Source organism: Homo sapiens, chromosome 5 (assembly GCF_000001405.40).
Source record: "Homo sapiens chromosome 5, GRCh38.p14 Primary Assembly".
NCBI lineage: Eukaryota > Metazoa > Chordata > Mammalia > Primates > Hominidae > Homo > Homo sapiens.
This window is the reverse complement of record NC_000005.10, coordinates 129,072,464-129,092,546: the sequence shown is the minus strand read 5'-3', so window position 1 is coordinate 129,092,546 and position 20,083 is coordinate 129,072,464. Positions and strand designations below refer to the sequence as shown.

The following is a 20,083-nucleotide window of genomic DNA, read 5'->3' as shown; positions in this document are numbered from 1 at the left end:
CTCAATAGACTGATAAAACAAAGGCTTATTTCTCACCTTTCCCAGTTAACAGCAACATTTGACAAACCAATTACTCCCTTTATTTTGAACCATATTCACTTTGTCTTTGGGATACCACTCTCTCTTATTTCTCCTTCCACCTCACTTCAAGCTCGTTTCCTATGTTCCTCTCATTCCCCAAACCTCTATAAATACAAGTATACCAGAGCTCAGTCCTCACATCTATTATCCTAAGACTGTGGCTTTAAATATCACCCATATACCTTTGACTTCCAAATTTTTAACATCCAGGCCCTCACTCTGCACTCCATACTCATACACAAGTGCCTATTCGACATCTCCACTTGGATATTCAATAGATACCTCACATTTAAATGTACTAACAGAACTCTTAGTTTTCTTCTGTCCTCGAATATTTTCTCTCCCCTGTTGATATCTAGGCAAATGGCAACCCCGTTTTAGTAACTGAGTACAATAACCAGGGGTTTATCCTTTAATTTACTCCTCTTTCTGTCCTTGTCCAGTCTATCAGCAAGACCTGGTGGTCAGAACCAAATTCCTCTCATTCACACCAGTGCCACCACCTAAGACAAAACCACTGTCGTCTTCCATCTAACTGTAACTCATCATAAGTTGTGCCCAATATTTGACTTTTGTATCCCTATTTATCCATTTACCTCATTTACATAGACTTTTATACTCCATTTACCACACGGCTATTAGAGTGGCACTTTTTCAAAAACATAAATTTAGAGCGTGTCACTGCTGTGTTCAGAATCCTCCAGTATATAAAAATAGACCTCAAGACAATCTAGATGTTAGGATTAAGAGAAAAAGAACTTTAAAGAAGTTGTTACAAGTATATTCAAGGTCTTAAAAGAAAGGGTAGCCATAAGACTGAGCAGATAGGGAATACCAGCAGGGAGATGGAGATGACTGAAAACATAGCCAAATGTCACTTTTCAAGCTAAAAGTGCAATGTCTGGAGTGAAATGCTCACTGGGTAATCTAAACTTCAGATTATAGGTTCCAGAAGAAATGATTAGTGAAATTGCATGCAGAGTACTAGAAATTATCCAATGTGAAGAACAGGAAGAGATTGAAAAAAGTATGATGACAGTTTTAGTAACCTGGAGGGCAATATCAAATGATCTAATATGTAGTTGGAGTCCAAGAGGGAGAGATGAGACAAGAATGGAACAGAAAGAATATTGGAAGAAATAATAGCCAAAATAGCACTGTCTATTAAGTCTTCAGTGTGCTGATTTTTATCTCAGAGTCTGCTTTCCAGGGAAATCAACCTGTGACATTTGTTGCTAGGAAAGATGAAAGGAGGCCAATGTGGATGGATTTTGGAGCTGGGTCACCCACTGTTGGGCAGATAATGAATACCTAACCACTAATATCTGTGGAGCACAGATAGCCCCTGGCAGTTTTTTTAAACTTCCAGCAAGATGAACTAGAATCATATACTACTGGAAAGGAATGCCTTCACTGTAATTAAGAATTTGAAAAATATGGAGGAAATACTAATTATAAGAATAAAGGAATTGAATGACAGTTTCAAAGTTTGATTGATGCTCTAGAAAAAGACCAAAAAAAAGATAGTTGGCAACTAAAAGCTAAGTGTGAAGGCTGGAAGAACTTTTTGGCAGCATTGAGTCTCTCAGTTCCTGCAATAAGAAGAGAGAGAAAGCTGAGGACCAAGACTAGGACTGAAGGTAGCAGAGCTCCAAAGAAGGTTAAACTCTTAAAAAATGCATATTTTCTATGCCAAGGTCAGGACTCTGGTTGAGAAATGGGACCGTGACACATGGGATAAAGTTGATGACACTGAAAATTATGAGTCCTTCGATTCTTTTAATTGATCTGGTCTTTAGAAATGACTTACTCTTTTCTTAATGACTAGCATTCCCTCATTTCTTGAAGGCAATGCAAAGCCTTTTCTCTAGCAAGACATTAGCTTTCCCAGGCTCTTCCCTCTCCTTCCCTCCTGATACCTATATCCATAAGTAGGCTTAATTAACAGTAAAATCTGGCCACAGATATGTTGGGCCTGAAAAAGAAGGAATATATCCAAGAGCAGCTACAGAATCTAATAACCAGCATATACCATCAGGAGCAGAGAGATTATGCACAGCACTGGATTTGGAGGGTGTGTGATCGAGGATGTGGAACAAAAAAGTTTCTCGGTTAGGAAACACCATATTAGGATAGAGGATTTAACACCCTAGTAAGGTTCTTGGGAGATGGTCTGAACACAGTGCTTCTAAGGCTGCTCTTAAATGGGCCATAAATTTACAACCTTACCCCAAGGCTATGTTAACTGTCCTGCCGTCTATTACAATATACTCTGAAGAGATATAAGTTAGCTGGACATCCTGCAGAATATCACCTTCATTCACTGTATCAATAACATCATGCAGATTGAACAAGATGAACAAAAAGTGACTATTCATTGAAGGCCTTGGTAAGACACAAGTGTTCCAGAGGGGAGTGATAACCTCTAAATAGTTTCAAGGAACCACCACATTAGCAATGTTTTAGGGCCCAGTGTCCTAAGGCATTCTAAGACATCCCCTCCAAAGTACAGGACAAATTATTGCTTTTTACACTTGCACTTTCTACCATGAATACGGAAACACAATGTTTAGGAGACCTCTTTCGACAATGGAGGCACCATTGTGCCACAACTGAGAATAATGCTATGCTACACCTCATTCTCTGTAAGATGAAATGCTGCAAGGTTTTAGTGGGGCTGAGAGTAGTAGAAAGGATTTTGCAGTAGATCCAGGTAGTGGTGCAAGCAGCCGTGCCTCCTGGGCTGCATAATATGAAAGATCTTTTACTATTGGAAATACCAGTAACACAAGAAGATGCCATTAGATTTATGGAAAGCCCAAATGTGGGAATCATAATGCAGACACCATCAGTTCTGGAACAAAGTTATGCCATCTTCAGCAGAAATTTACACTGTTTTGAAAGGCCGTCAAGTGACCATGCAGATGGCACTGCCCATCCTGAGCTGTATACTGTCAGACCCACCAAGGCATAAGGTTGAGCAGGCCCAGAAGTAATCCATAAGAAGATAGAATTGGTACATGTGAGATCAAGCACAGGCAAGACTGTGCAGGACATGCAGTCTACATGATCAGATAGCCTAGACACCAATGTCATCTACTACTATTCTATCAGTGCCTCTCTCTCACATCGTGTGGAAGACCTGTTATCACCAGTTGATGGGGGAGAAAAAAGTCAGAGCTTGGTTCACAAATGGATTGGCTCAGTATCCCTTGATACTTGAAAGACAGGAATGAGAGGAAATTTCCAAGTGAGCAAAGTTTTGGGCAGTGACCTGGTCATCTTCTTTGTATGGAAAGAGAAGTTACCTGAGCCAAGCTTAGAAAATACATAAATTCATGGACAATGGCAAATGACTGAGCCAGCTACTTAGGCACCTGGAAGAAGAAAGATTGGAAGATCAGGAACAACGAAGTCTGAGATAGATGCATGAAAAGATGAATGGGAATAAGCACCAAGCATAACAATCCTCATATCCCATGACAATGCTCACCAGAGAAACCACCATAAGAGAGACACTATACCACCATGAAAACAACCAGAACAGATGAAGGACTCTTACTAATCAATAATAATAACAAGACAACTCAATTAAAATAGAGGAAAAGTCTCAAACAGACACTTTACAAAAGCAGATAAATATTGCCCAACAGGCACATGAGAAAGTGTTTAATATCACTTTCTCAGAAAGTGTTTAATATCACTTTCTCAGAAAGTGTTTAATTTTTTTGCAAATTAAATCTGCAAAAAAATTACTATTTCACACTCACTAAAACAGATAAACTAAAAGACAGTAACATCAACCGAAACTAGAACTTTTATACATTGCAGGGGTGCATAAAATGGCACACCATTTTGGAAAAACTGATATGGCAACATTTTACATAGTAAAATATGCACCTGTTCTTTAATCACAAAATCTCTGAAAATAAACATTCTGAAGCTAGACACAAAAGAGTACATATTGGCTAGGTGCGGTGGCTCATACCTGTAATCCCAGCACTTTGAGTGGCCGAGGTGGGCAGATCACCAGGTCAAGAGATTGAGACCATCCTTGCCAACATGGTGAAACCCCATCTCTACTAAAAATACAAAAATTAGCTGTGCGTGGCAGCATGCACCTGTAGTCTAAGCTACTCGGGAGGCTGAGGCAGGAGAATCACTTGAACCCAGGAGGTGGAGGTTGCAGTGAGCCAAGTTTGCACCACTGCACTCCAGCCTGGTGACAAAGCGAGACTCCATCTCAAAAAAAAAAAAAGAGTACATGTTGTATGATTCCATTCATATGGAGTTCAAAATAGATAAAATGAATCTATGGTGATTAAAAAAAAAAACAGAACAGTGGTCACCTGTGGGGCAATTAGATTAATTGGAAGGGGTCACAGGAGAATTTTGTAGGGTGATGGAAATATTCTACATTTTACTTGTGTACTTTAAGATATGTGCATTTTATTAAATGTAAATTTTTACCTTAAAAAGTACAATCCAATGTCTTATCTCTCTGATCCTAATTTCTGCCACCACTCTCTCTACTCCAGCCCCACTGTCTCCTTAATGTTCCTCATCCTTTGTACTTCCCATTCTTTCTGCCTGAAAACTCTCTTCTCCTAGATAGCCACACAGCTTCTGCTTCCTCATTTGTCTGTGCACAAATAGGTATCTCAAATCAAAAAGGTCCACCTTTACTGCCTTATATAAAATATCACTATAATCTCACTCTATGCCTATTTCCTGCCTCCTTTTTCTTCTCTTTCTTAATGCTTATTACCGTTTGTATACATTATGAAAGCAGAGACTTGTTTATTTTGTTCTCAACTGTGTCACAACTCCTAGAACACTGCCTGACACTATAAATATTTGTTGAAGAGCTGTTACACCAAATATATCTTCAGGATACTACATTGAAAAATCAAAGGTATATTCAGTCAAACGTGATATTTTTAGGTGAGTTGTCTATATTGTAAAATACTCCTGATTGATATTATTCAGTCAGAGGTGATATTTTTAGGTGAGTTATTTGTCTATATTTTAAATTAATCCTGAGGTCGCTATTATTAGAGGATTACTGGATTTACTCAGCCGACTCCAAATGAGATTATTTGACTCCATTTGTAGTTTCTCAAATGTGATAAAGCAGGCAAGGAAAGTCAAGTATCAAAACAGCTTTTGCAGTCTTCTCCATGGGGGAACTCTGAAAATATTCTGCAAAGGAAAGGAAGAAAATCAAGATGGAGTTTTATACATAGATGGAACGTGGTATGATCGAGAGATTTTTAAGAGCTACCAGATATATTTTAGAACCAGAAAAGACCTTATATATAATCTAGTAAAGACCTAACAGAAAATTATTAATAGGAATTTATTGTTTTTATATCATTTTATTATAACCAAATAAACTATAAGATCACCAAAGGTCTTACAGTTGATTGTTGGCACATCCAGCTGTGACTATCACCAATATTATTATTAAAACTCATGTTAATATTAAAGTGAATTACTTGACTTTTTCATCTATTAAATCAATAACTGTATACACTAAGAATTCTGTGGTGAACAAGAAAGATAATGCCCATGTTATTATAGAGTTTACAGTCTACTGGAGGTAGGTAGACAATAAACATGTAAACAAATAAATGAGATATTTCTAGTTAGTGATAAGGCTAGGAAGAAAATATGGCACTCTGCTGGAGTGATATAGGTTGCCTGTGATCTACTTTCTTTAGGAGGAAACATTTAAGCTGAGATCTGAATGGTAAGGAGGAGCATTCCAGACACATGGAAAAACAAGTACAGAGGCTGTTAGAAAGTAACAAGCCTACTATGTTTGAGGAATGATGTGGTTGGAACATGTTGAATTCTATGAGATGAGATCAGAGATGTGAGGAAAGGCTATATCATGTAGAGCCTTGAAGGCCACATAAAGAATTTGATTTTATTCTGAGTGAAATATTTTAATCAGGGAAATTACATAAACGGATTCATGATTTTAAAGGAATCATCTTATTACTACTTAGAAAATTGCATGTAGGAGGCCACAAGTAGAAGGGAGACCTATGGTTAACTATTACAGTAATCCAGGCAAGAGGTAATGGATGGCAGATTGCTGTAGAGAAGTGGTTCTCAGCCGGGGTAGTTTTAACCTATAGCATATTTGGCATTGTCTGGAGACATTTTTGGTTGTCACAATTGGGAAAAGGGGCGCTACTGGCATCTAATAGGGAGAGGCCAGGGATGGTGCTGAACCCCCAACATTGCACAGGACAGCTCCATACAACAAAAATGATTTGACCCAAAATGTCAATTGTGTCAAGGTTGAGGAATCCTGCTCTAGGCTATTAGTACTATAAATGGAAATGAATGGAGGAATGTGCTATCAAGAAGAGGACTTTTTATAGATTAGATGTGGAGAAGTCAGGAAAAGGCAGAAATCCAGAATGACTCCTAGCTTTTGTGCTTGAGTATCCAGCAATGCCATAGTGCCATTACTAAGATGAAGAAGACTAGGAGAGAAGCACATGGAGGTGAAAAAAAAAGAATTCTCTTTTGACCACATTAAGTTTGAGATGCTTATTGGGCACCGAAAGTAGATGATGGTTAGGTCGGCTGCATATATGAGTATGAATCTCATATTCATGGAGAGTAGATTTGAAATATAAGTGACATCTGCACGAAGAAGATATTTAAACCATGGGAATAGATGACACCACCTGGAGGGAGATCATACCTAGAATAGAAAATGGAACCTATGACAGAGAGTTAACATTGAATAAATGGGGTAGGAATGAGATTCATGCATTCGATACTGAAGTAGCAAAAAACCTGGACACTAGAGTAACGAAATTTAAGAAAAAAATATTACTATTAGATTGAGCCAAATAAAATTGCCCAAATAATTCTAGACCTACAAAAACATAAATTTCCTATATTTCAACTTAATAGAAAAAGTGGCCAACTATATCAAATGCTACTGAGAGATCAAGTATGATTTGAATGAGTGTGGAGATTATGGTGACACAAAGGCTCTTAGTGACTTTGACAGGAGCAGTTCCAGAGGAATAGAGGGGTGAAAAGCCTGGTTTTTTAAGTCAAAGAGAAAACTGCTAGTTAGAAAAGAATCAATCAGTTCTTTAGATTAAGAAGGATATAGGTTTAGAAAAAAATCTTTTTTTAGAGATGAGGTCTTGCTCTGTCACCAAGGCCAGAGTGCAGTGACACAATCATAGCTCACTGCAGTCTCAAACTCCTGGGCTCAAGGGATCATCCCATCTCAGCCTCCCAAGTAGCTGAAACTATAGGCACATGCCACCACACCTGGCTAGAAGTGTTTCTTTAAAGACAGAAAATGCTAGAAACATTCGATTATTGTTCAATGCTAGTAAGAATTAGCCAGAAGAAAAGGAACATATTTTTTGGTACATTAGGAGAGATGGTAACTGAAAGACTAGCAATTGAATGATGAAAAGGATGAATCCAGAGCACAGAGGGAAGTCTGGGCTTCTTGTAGGATCAGGGGCACTTGTCCCATTGGAAATGAAAGGCAGAAAATGTGAGTAAAGATACAACTAAGTTACTAACAATTTTTTTTTTTTTTTGAGACGGAGTCTCGCTCTGTCACCCAGTCTGGAGTGCAGTGGCGCAATCTTGGCTCACTGCAAGCTCTGCCTCCTGGGTTCACACCATTCTCCTGCCTCAGCATCCCCCAGTAGCTGGGACTACAGGCGCCTGCCACCACACCCGGCTAATTTTTTGTATTTTTAGAGATGGGGTTTCACCATGTAAGCCAGGATGGTCTTGATCTCCTGACCTCGTGATCCACCCGCCTCGGCCTCCCAAAGTGCTGGGATTACAGGCGTGAGCCACCGTGCCTGGCCATAATTTTTGAATAGAAAAGTGAAGTAGTTAACTGTCTAATTATATTTTCTTTTTGTTATGTATAACTCTGAATATTTTTATATGTCTGTTATCCTTATCTCTTGGTACAGTTTATGCATATTTTACTTTATTCAAGGCAGTCATAGTTTTAGCCTGGTCTGGTATTCCTAGCTCAGTCTTCTCTTTAAAGAATATACTTTTAGAGACACATTTCTATTTTAGTACATTCACCTCACCATGACCATCTTTCGTGGATAGAAAGATGTTTACAATTCATTATGTTTTGTATTTCAGAATTTTCATGTATCTCATCAGGAAGTTTCTGTCCAGGGCTGTGTCTGGTTCATTTTTAAATAAATGGACTCCTGGAGTGAAAGAAAAAAAAAACAAAATTATAAACTATTTCCCAAACCCACAACTCCCATTGTCTCAAAAATTTATCTTCAGATCTTGAAATCATACATCCTAAGACAGTTTAGCAATATCTACAGTGATCACATGTTGCCTGGCTTTAACTTCCCTAAGTTAATCAATGGCTTGTTTGGAGTTCTTGGTCACATTGTTGCTGGCCTCACTGCTGTGCTGCAGGTAGGCATGTCACCCTTGGCAAAGACAGCTTTATGATTTGTCATTCTTTGAGCCTTATAGGTCAGCACAGCAGTGAGCAATGACATCTTTCCTCAAGATAAGTTGAAGGAAGTCTCCTTACTCCCACCAAAGGCCCCACCTAGATTCTGGATACCATCCCTTAGAGGCTTCTGTTCTGCACTTATCCCCACCCCTCTCCTACATACACAATATATCTCTCTCTCTACTGGATCTTTCTCATTGGGCATGATATTATTTTTAAGTGAGGAGATGATAATATAACTCGTTTTCTACAAATATCATCCCATTTTTCTTCTCTCCATAGAAAAACATTTTGAAAAAGTCTACTCAACTTCTATTTACTTATAAACTCACCTCAGTATGGCCTCTCCCTCCTCTGTGCACTAAAACTGTTCTTGTCAAGGTCACCAATAATCTCCACATTACCCAATACATGACCCATGTGTCTGGCTAAGGACCATGTCTATGCACTCAATTACTACACTTTTCAAATATATTCAACACATCTCTGATCACTCTCTACTTTATGAAATCCTGTTATTACATCATATTCCCCTTTTCTCCTCACTCTTGTCCTCCTCTAGGCTTTTTTCTTTCTTTCTTTCTTTCTTTTTTTTTTTTTTTTTTTTTTTTTTTTTTTTTTTTTTTTTTTTTTTTTTTTGCTTACTGCAGCCTCAAACTCTGAGGCTCAAGCATTCCTCCCACCTCAGTAGCCTCCTGAGTAGCTGGGACTACAAACATGTGCCACCATGCATGTCCAGTTAATTTTTTTTTTTTTAATTTCTGTGGAGAGAAAGTCTTGCTATGTTGCCGAAGCTGGTCTCAAAATCCTAGCCTCAAGTGATCCAACCGCCTTGGCCTTCCAAGTAGTTGGGATTACATGCATGAGCCACTGCACCCCGTCACTTTTTTTTCCCTTTTGGTTCTTCTATTATCTCCCTTTTAAATGTTCATAGGCTGAAGTCCTGATTACTTTTTTCTTCTTCGTCTGTTACTTCACCTAATGATATGATCTAGTCCCAGAATTTACATGTGCTGACCTGTCCCTGAACCTCAGACTCATATCTCAAACTGCCTACTTGACCTCTCCACTTGTATATTCCAGTAATTCTAAAAAATAACATGGTCAAAGCAGAACACTTGATTTGTATCCTGTAAACATTTTTTCTTCAAAGTCTCCTTCCAAGTTAGAAATTGACAATACCTTGGGCCCAGTGACCAAGCTAGAAACCTGTGAGTTATTCTTAACTTATTGCCCTCACACACCACAACATTCATTTTATCGGCAAAGTCCATTGCTTCTACCAAACTATTCTTAGGTCATTGAAGTTTCTGTAATCCACTGGGGCCACCCTAGTTGAAGATTTTCCTGCTTTAACTCTTCCCCCCCAGTCCACGCTGTACACAGCAGAGTGAACTGTTGGAAACATAAATGAGAACATCTCACTTCTCTGCTTAAAATTTCTTGTTGGCTTATTGGCTTCCTACTACATTTAAAATGAGGTGAAATTCATTTCCTTATCTTGGCCTTCCAGACCTTGCAATATCTGCCTTTCTTCTCTTCTCTTCTCTCATCTATGTATTCTTAACTCTTACTGCTCCAACCACGATGGATTGTGTAAGATCTTTGCTGCTTCAAAGTCTTGTACTTACTCTGCTTGTAAGATTGTTTGCCAGAATTTTCCCATGCTGGCTCCTTCTCATCCTCTAGGTTTATCTAGAGTAGATTCCCTCAGTGGAACCCCATACTCTTATCATATTATTGTGTTTGTTTTTCTCTTAGCACTTACCATTCAGTAGTCATCTTTTTAAAAAGTTTATTTATAAAGTGTACACACTAAATGAAGGCAGAGACTCTGTCCAACTCTTATCAGAGTATTCCCAGCAGTATAGTTCCTGGGAATAATAGAAACACAATAATATGTGAGCGAATCAATGAACATCTAAACTAAGTTGAGTTTTTCTCCCTCACACTTTTAAAATCCTCTGGTTGAGTGATTTCAAGTCATTTCCCACCTTATCCCCAAAGATATTATAATATGCAGTTGACCCTTGAACAAGGTAAGGGTTAAGGGAATCAAGTCCCTGCTCAGTCAAAACCCTGTGTTTAACTTTTTGACTTCTCCAAATTTTAACTACTAATTACCTACTGGTGACCAGAAGCCTTACTGATAGATAACATAAACAGGAAATTATATGTATTATATAATTATAATATGTATTATATACTGTATTATATGTATTATATACTGTATTCTTAAAATAAAGTAAGAGAAAAGAAAATGTTACTAAGAAATTCATAAGAAAGAGAAAATCCTTTTACATTACTATATTTATTGATAGCTTAAGTTTACATTGTCTGTTTCCAAGATGAATTATCTGTCTGGAATGGTGGGCAACCGCAGCTGCAACCTCAATCTACAATACATATCATGCAATTTGACTTTTTCTTGTGTAGGTCATGGCTTTTCTCTGCTTCTTGGGAGCCCTTTCAGCATCGCTAGTGGTACTCTGTGTGGGTCCCATGGTGTCATTCAAGGTTTATGATATTGCACTAAACAGGATGAAAAATACAGGAGATCCACTAGAGATTACTTTTTACTGTGATATGCAATTTACTGAAGCCATAAATGGCTCACAGGGAGGTGACTGGTTTCACATGGCACTTTTTGTTTTTGTTTTTTTTTAAGACAAGAGTCTCTGTCACCCAGGCTGGAGTGCAGTGGCGTGATCCCAGCTCACTGCAACTTCTGCCTCCTGGGTTCAAGCAATTCTCCTGCCTCAGCCTTCCCAGTAGCTGGAATTACAGGCACGTGCCACCACGCCTGGCTAATTTTTTGTATTTTTAGTAGAGACGAAGTTTCATCATGTTGGCCAGGCTGGTTATGAACTCCTGACCTCAAGTGATTTGCCCGCCTCGGTATCCCAAAGTGCTGAGATTACAGGCGTGAGCCACCACGCCCTGCCTCACATGGCATTTTAAGCAGATAGAATACTTGAGTTCACAGAAGTAGCAACAGGAGGTTGCTAAAAAATTATTACAGTAGTACAGTATGTACTATAGTTAATTTTATGCAGTTATTTAATATTTCATCTTTACATTTGTTTACATTTCTCTTTGGTGCACTGTTCAGTCTGTGTGCGCATAAGTCTTGATAAATTTTAACTTTTTATAATAGACTTGTACATATTTTGTGGTAGTAAATGACAGACTAGTATATCCATGTATTTTATATATTCATGACATACCCAACTTTTTAATTTTTGTAATATTTCTATCTGTACAGTTTGTGAGTTTTCTCAAATTGTCTCAAATCTCCAGAACATTTTCTAATCTATCTACTTTAAAAATCAGCATAGAAGGGGCACAGTTCAAACTTATTTTTTTTCTTTTTTTTTTTTTGAGACGGAGTCTCGGCTCACTGCAACCTCCACCTCCCAGGTTCAAGCAATTCTCCTGCCTCAGCCTCCTGAGTAGCTGGGATTACAGGCACCTGCCACCATGCCCGGCTAATTTTTGTACTTTTTTTTTTTTAGTAGAGATGGGGTTTCACCATGTTGGTCAGGCTGGTCTCGAACTCCTGACCTCAGGTGATCCACCTGCCTCGGCCTCCCAAAATGCTTACAAGGGATTACAAGTGTGAGCCACCACGCCTGGCCCAAACTTGTGTTTTTCAAGGGCCAACTGTAGTTACATCTTTGTATGCTCCAGGGATCTTAAACCTAAATAATGTTTTGACAATTGAATTTATTTGTATATATCATATTTACAAATTATTTTACTTGAAAGAAACAGAATGCCTAAAATAATAATAGTTTATATTTTGCATATAATTAGAAGTCCATGGGAGGGTGATGACCATAGTGATGTCAGCAGCTGAGCAATGTGATACTCTAAGATTGCCATCTCTCAAATTCTACAAATCCTTCCTCTCACAGTCCTATGGTAGCCACTGCCATTCTAAGCATCACACAATTATATTCAGAGGCTGGAAGCAACAGCAGCACAAAGGAGAAAAACTCTCTGCTTCACTTGTTATTATTAAAAAGAAAATATCTTTTCCAGAAGCCCCTCTATAAACTTCTCCTAGCATGTTATTGGCCAGAAGTGGGTCATATGCCCACCCTGATACAAAAAAAGCAGGTATTTTGGTACTAAGGATAGAAGGAATGGCTTCTGTGTGGAAAACAAAGAGTAAGGGCTATATTCTACACAAGTTTAGCCTTATTTGGCATTCCCTCTTTGGCTTTGCTTAGTGAAGGCAGCACATCACACTTGCCCCAGTTTCCACTCCATTACTCTACCCACAATCTTGGCAGGTCTTTCAAAACATGAACATTGTGATTGAAGCAGACAGAGAGGCCTAGTGCTTTCTCTATTTAGGTAATATATGTCTGGCTTTTCTACATGGCCTCTGTGGCCAGTTTATATTGTCAATTCTGCACCTATATTAAATTTTAAAATCTAGCTATGAAGAGTTTAAGTGATTTCACATAACCTCCTTTCTGAAGACTAAACTTGGCAAAAATAGGATTTCTAAAGGATTGGAAAAATTAATATTGCTTTGATGCCAACATCTATTATCACAGGCCAGATTTTTTTTTACCAATTTATTAAAAAATTGATTGGAATATCTTGATCTCCTATAATTTTTCAGTAACAAACACTCCACCCCTAATATGCTACCCCCAAACACTGGTGCTACTGGATTTTTAAACTTTAGAGAGTAAAGAAAATAATCTTTGGGGCTACAACAGAGAATAAACTTAACGGGACTTTTTATGCACAAACTGTGTACTTTTTGTTAGCCTTCTAAGTCAATTGTCTACTTTCTAGGTTTCTGAATGAATTTGTGCTTTGCCTTCACCTTGTTGGAATACCCTTTATTGAATATTTAGTGCTAATAAGGCCCTAAATAAGCACTTTACATTCATTATTTAATTTGATACATATAGTAATCCAATGTGGCAAAGGTGTCTTCCCCTTCTTCCACCCTGGCTCCAGCAGTTTATGAAGAAGAATGAGGCTCAGAGAGGTGTAATGGCCTATTTGGGGCCATGTAACTTGTAACTGCAGTGTAAGGACTCAGTAGGAAGTCCGTTTATCTGATTCCAGAAGCCCTTACATCACTATAGTAGACCACGTTCTCTTGCACGAATTTCTTATCATTCTTTGGGAAGCAAATTTTACCTCCATGTACTGGTTAGGGCCCCTGTCTTCAAGGCTTTGACAAATACCTTGCACACACTTCCATATGATTCTGTTGCCTGGAATACAAATAAGACATCTTAATTAAGCAGAAGAAGGCTTTGGAGGTTGGCTGCCGTCCCCTCTAAGGCTATGCAGGCCTCTCTACCCTATTTCATCTGATTGAAGTCTACTGGTAGAAGGTGAACTGCCAAATGAAATATTATCTTTGCTTTCCTCATCAGAATAACCTATCCAAAACCAAGTTCTGTAATCAGACACAAGTTTCTTGGAAATACACAGTGAATGGTCCTCAAGCTGTTCTAGTTTGTGGCACCTCATAGTGTGAAATTTGGCCATTGTCTTGGAATACTAATAGCAAACAGTTTTATAATGCTTAGCGTCTGAGTATTTGTATTAGTTTTTCCTGTGGCTGCTGTAACATATTACCACCAACTGGGTGACTTAAAACAACAGAAATTTATTCTTTCACAGTTCTGGAGGCCAGAAGTCCAAAATAAATACCACTGGGCCAAAATTAAGATGCAGAGCTCTGCTTTCTTTGCAGTTTCTCAAAGATAATTCATTCCTTGCCTCTTCTGGCTTCTGGTGGCTACTGGCATTCCTTCATTTATGATCACAGCACTTTTTTTCTGAGTCCATCTTCACACCACCTTTGTCTATATCTGCCTGTTGTCAGATCTCCCTCTGTTTCCTCTTGTATGAATACATGTGATTGCACTTAGGGTCCACCCAAATAACCCCCCCATCTCAAGATCCATAACTTAATCATATCTGTAAAGACTCTTTTTTAACATACAAAGTAACATTTATAGTTTCAGGATCCAGGAATTAGGACCAGATATCTTCAGGAGCTATAATTCAGCCTACTATGGTATTTTATGCATGTAACTCAATCACACAGCAATTGAGTTATATATTGTGATTATTGTCATTTACTGATAAGAAAACTGGGGCAGACAGAGATTATACAACTTACGGAAGATCCACTAATCACTAAGCGGACTTGTCTAGATTTGAATCCAGTAAATTTCTGACCTTAAAAATTTGCTGCCACCAGAAGTAAGTGAAAAAATAATTCATATTGGAGAATTCCCCAGACAGAGTGTGCCAAGATAGAAGTCAAATGACAAGAGGTTTCTCCTTTAAAGGCAGTCCTCCTAGGTTATGGAATTTCCCCACTTTCTCATCTTTGGCAGGACTCCTTGTTTCATCGTGTACTTTATCATCTTATACATACACAATCAGTTTAAGTGCAGGGCTTTTAGAGTAATATGAGAAAAGTATGCTGTACAAACTGTATGCAGTTGAGATATTTTCTGAACTAATGGATTCTTAATCAATCTATCAAAATAATGCCATGTTTGAGTTGGAAATAAGCAGTACCCAAACCTTTCTAAATATTCCCTTTTTTTTTTTTTTTTTTTTTTTTTTTTTTTTTTTTTACTTTTAAACACAGACACTTCTAAAACAGCTTGCTAGACTCCTGTACTCTCAATAACCCAGCTATGTATAGCTTCTTCTGCTACTCCTAGATCTCAGGAAAGGATTTTGTAAACTAAACATCTGTGGACTCAAACTTGTCAAATTCCTAGCAGGCAACTCCATAAATTTTGGACTAAGGAGACATAAAGTCCCTGCCCCTTAATATATTTGATCTGCTTTTTGCTCAAGTCAAAGATATACTCACTTTGAGCTTTAATCCAGAAGCAATATCCATCATTACCCCTGGCCCACTGATGAAAACTCATCATACACCTACCTACGTGTAAGAGAGACTGGGAATGTAGTCTAGGTATATGTCCTAAAACAAGAGAAACTGAGCTTTTGCTGATTAACTAACAACCTCTCCCATGTAGAACCTTCAAAAGAAATATGCCTGAATATTATACCACAAACATGGTAGAGAGGTAATGTAGATCCAGTACTGAGACCACACAAGCTTCACGGACACACAGGTAGACTCAGATTTGAATGCTGTGTCTGGCCCTTACAAACTGAGGCTCCTAGCCAAGTTACAAATTGTCTCATCTTACAGTTCAGATAATTAACTCTCAAGGGCACTTGGTGAAGATTAAATAAAATGGTGTGTTTAAAGTACTTATTGAAGTACTCATTCGCAGTAATCATTTAATAAATAATTACTATTATTATTTCTATTTTAAAGTTTTATATACAACTATATCTATTACAGTTCTTCCTGTTGAACCAGAGTAACATAGATATATGAGTAAGTTAATCATGGTATATGCATTCAGTAGAATAGACTACAGGCATTTAAAAGTTATTATTGCAAAGGATACATAATACTACTGAAAAATGCTTATAAAATGTTTTACATTTTAAAAGTAGAAGACATTTGGAAAAATGATACATTTAACTAGGTTAAAAAATTTTTAGTCACTATAATGTATGATTTTTTTACTTTTGACTTTTTTATATTTTTGAGTTTTTAGTGACTATTTTACTATTGGGCTTTTTTGTTCTTTTACCTAAAACTTTAATAAAATATTACAGATATCGTTGAAATTCCTTTCACAATCCTAAATGATACTACTCATTAATTTCAGATAAAACCATTTCTTGAGTTTGCATGTATCTTTCCTGACTAGATATTTTACTGTTTATGCAAATATGTTTACATAAAATATAATATTTAGATTTTTTAAAATTACATGAATGGTATCCACTCTTGATTTGTTTTGTCCATGAAATATTATGTGTCTAATATATATCTGCATTGATTCTCTAGATCTAGCTTCTTTATTTTAACAGTTCTGTAGTAATTCGTTGAATGCATATAATACAGTCCATTCATTCATCACCATAGTTGGATGTTAAGAGGTTTCCAAGTTTTTGCTATCCCAAAGAAACATTGCAAGTAACATTCTTTTAAATATCTTCTTATGAACATATGTGATAGATTCCCTAGCATATATTATCAGAAGCAAAATTTCTAGGTCATAGGATATGGTAATACTGAGGTTTATTAAATATAGGCAAATCACTCTCTTACTGAATTTATATTCCTCTAGGAATATATAAGGTCCAATTTTCCATATCTTTTTGCCAATTCTTGTAAGTGCCCCCCACCTTTTCCTTCTGCCAATTCTATGTTTAATGATCTCTTTCTATGGTTTTACTTTTCCTTTCACTGATAAATTATGAGGTTAAACATTTTTCATATGTTTATTGGACATTTAGATTTCATATTCTCTTCACTGTTTAATTCTTTCTTATTTGTATTTAACTTTTACTCCGATTTGCAGGGTTCTGTGTGTTCTCAAAACTAAACTCACTTTAAGATATAAGTATCTCAAATGTCATTGTCTATATTGTGGCCTTGATAAATTGTTTAACAAATAAAGTTAAAAATTAAACGAATATTTGTTTACCCTGGTGGGAAATTATAATTATTTCCAACTTGTTTTTATTGTGATTAATACATGTGGTTCACTAAAGGCATTGCTGAGGGTGAATGTATATTCCACGCAAATCAAAGAAAGACAAGTGACAGAACTGCTTGCAGTTCACTTTTCTTGCAGCTAAAGACAACAGACTCTAAACATGCTGCCAACTGTCGAGCATTTTCATGCTGCTCATCCAGGCTTAAATATTTGCTAATTTAGATGATGGCTGCAGTCCATCAGTTAATAGTATTTACAACAAAAACATATGTCCAGTACTTGGAAGGATAGTCATTAGCTAATGTGAGTCATTTCCAGATGACATAGAGATAATTCATATTGTCAGTATGAATTCGTATTGAGTAATATGACATCTACCAGGGTTGACCTTAAGAATAGATATTGATGGCTATTTCTGTATTGACTGTTAAGGTGCTCTCCAAAAGTCAACTCACCCATCACCCCGTTATGAGGTACAGACTGAAACAAACACTACAGCTTGAAGGAAATAGTAGAGACATGAGAAAAAGAAGATGGAAAGAGTCAGAAAGGACTAGGAGGACAGAGACTGGGCAAATTAAAGTCTAGAGGTACTAGGTCATATTGCAGTAACAAATAATCCCTAATAATAATGGCTTAAACCCAACAAAAATGTTTTGTTTCTTATGTCATATGGTCTCTGCCCAATGTAGTTACTCAGGAGCTAGACACTACATGAATACCAGAACTTCCTCCTCAAATTGGTATACAGTTGACTCTCGAACAATGCAGAGGTTAGGAGCACCAACTCTTATGCAGTCAAAAAATTCAAGTATAACTTTTGACTCTCCCAAAAGTAAACTAATAGACTACTGTTGACCAGAATCCTTACTGTAATATAGTCAATTAATGCATATTTTGTATGCTACATATGTACGATCTACTATATTCTTACAATCAAGCCAGACAAAAGAAAATATTAAGAAAATCACAGAAGAGAAAATATATTTACTATTCATTAAGCAGAAGTGGATTATTATAAAACTCTTCCTCCTCGATGTCTTCACATTGAGTAGGCTGTGGAGGAAGAGGGAGGGTTGATCTTGCTGTCTCAGGGGTGTTAGAAGTCAAAGAAAATACATGTATAAATTGACTGGCACAGTTCAAATTTGTGTTGTTCAGGGTCAACTGTATATCATTTCTGATCACATTTGGTTGTCTAAAGCAAATCTCATGGCCACCGGAAACTTCAGGGAGAACTGATGTGCCTTCCATGATATTCCTGGAAAGAGGTGAACTGGAAATATTTGATAAACAGCATAGTGACTACCAGCGGCCACTATTCTGATTACCAGATATTGGTTCAATTGGTTCACACTCTGTTCCATACACAGAATATATCTATTCCCACCCCAAGAAGGCAACCCCAAAATCACAGTCATAGCTCAGTATTGTGGACCACTGTGTTCAATTCATCAGTCTCTGCCTCAAGTTTGGATGTGGCTACTTTTGATATGCAGACTTATCAACAACAAAAAAAGACAAATTAACTTCCAATACACACACACACACACACACACACACACACACACACACACACATACACACACGTTAGTATAGCAGAAAAAGACAACCATGATAAGGTGGGAAGCAGCAGGAGACCAGTTCAGGAAGTTAAAAACTGCTGCAAACTGCCAGTTCAGAGTTTTTTCTGTAAGCCTTCCCAATGAGCAGGATCAGGAGGCTACCTGGTACTTCATTCATCCTAAACTAGGCATAGGATGATACCTGCAAAAGACAGACACAAGGAGCTCCCCCACTCAGTACTTTGTCAAATTAACGCAACAAATTAAAAACCCTACTTAGCATGAAAAGGTAGATAGGCCCTAGAATATGACACAATTTACTTTTTAGCCTAGACTTGTCTTTCAGTTTCTCGATCTGCAAATTAAATTCCCTTGTGGGCTGACTAATTTATACTCCAAGACTCCTTTAGCAAATGTAGTTCCCATCTATTTTCTCCTCATTTTCTTCCTGCCTGTGCAATTGGCAGCCCGTGAGCTCATTTGGACTGAAGTCTAATATCTGTGTTTCTGGCATCTAGTTTGTTTTGTCCCAACAGAGCCTTCCCTTCCCTATTTTCTATTTCCCTGTAGAAAATAGATCTATAAAAACAAAGCGACTTTTTTTTTTAAGATGGAAAATGTTGGTTAAAGGAAAATACCTAATATCACAACTGTTTTCAATAACTGTGACACAACAGCTGAAAAATAAATTCTAAATGAGAGAGCACGGGGTATCTTTCAATATGTAGATTATACTGTTCTTCAACAGGAACAACATCAAGAAATGATGGGGCCATCTAAAGAGAAATACAGAATGCCACACACCAAAGGGAGCAGCCCTTGAAAAGAAAAGCATGGAGAACTTTTAAATCGAACCAAGTAAAGGAAGCTCCCCCTTGCTATCGAAGTGTAGTCTGTTCACCAGGAATGTGGGCATCATCTGAGGGTTTGGGAGAAAGCTGACTTTTGGGTCCTGAAACTTACAGAACCAGAGTATGTGTGTTAACAATATCATTTGCTGATTTGTCTGTGTTAATATTTGTATTTATCTAAATTGCAATTATTGAAAGTTAAAAAATAGAAAAATATAATTTGTTCAGATATTCTTGCACTCTGAAAGCATCACAGTCCTGACAAGTAATTAGTTTCAGTAACCAGTAATTATTAAAATCAAATAGCCTCTTTTGTACTGAAAATAATGTGGAATATTATTGCCAAGAAAAAGTTTATGTGAATGGCAAAGCATTTAATATAAAATTTGAAAAAACTAATTTAGCCAGGAAAATGCCTTGTCATTTATATTTACATATATCTGTACATGTACACAGATATAGAAAATGCAATATAAATAAAACTTGTAA

The 20,083-nt window shown here is 37.3% G+C and overlaps 1 long non-coding RNA gene across 1 annotated transcript; it reads right to left on the bottom strand.

Moving 5' to 3' along the window:
* Window positions 1-4,508: 4,508 nt before the first annotated feature.
* LOC102723638 (uncharacterized) lies at window positions 4,509-9,097 on the bottom strand. The gene is made up of 2 exons (XR_002956247.2): window positions 8,190-9,097; window positions 4,509-5,283 (listed from the first exon to the last, which is right to left on the bottom strand). It is a non-coding gene; the product is annotated as an uncharacterized LOC102723638 (long non-coding RNA).
* Window positions 9,098-20,083: the final 10,986 nt, after the last annotated feature.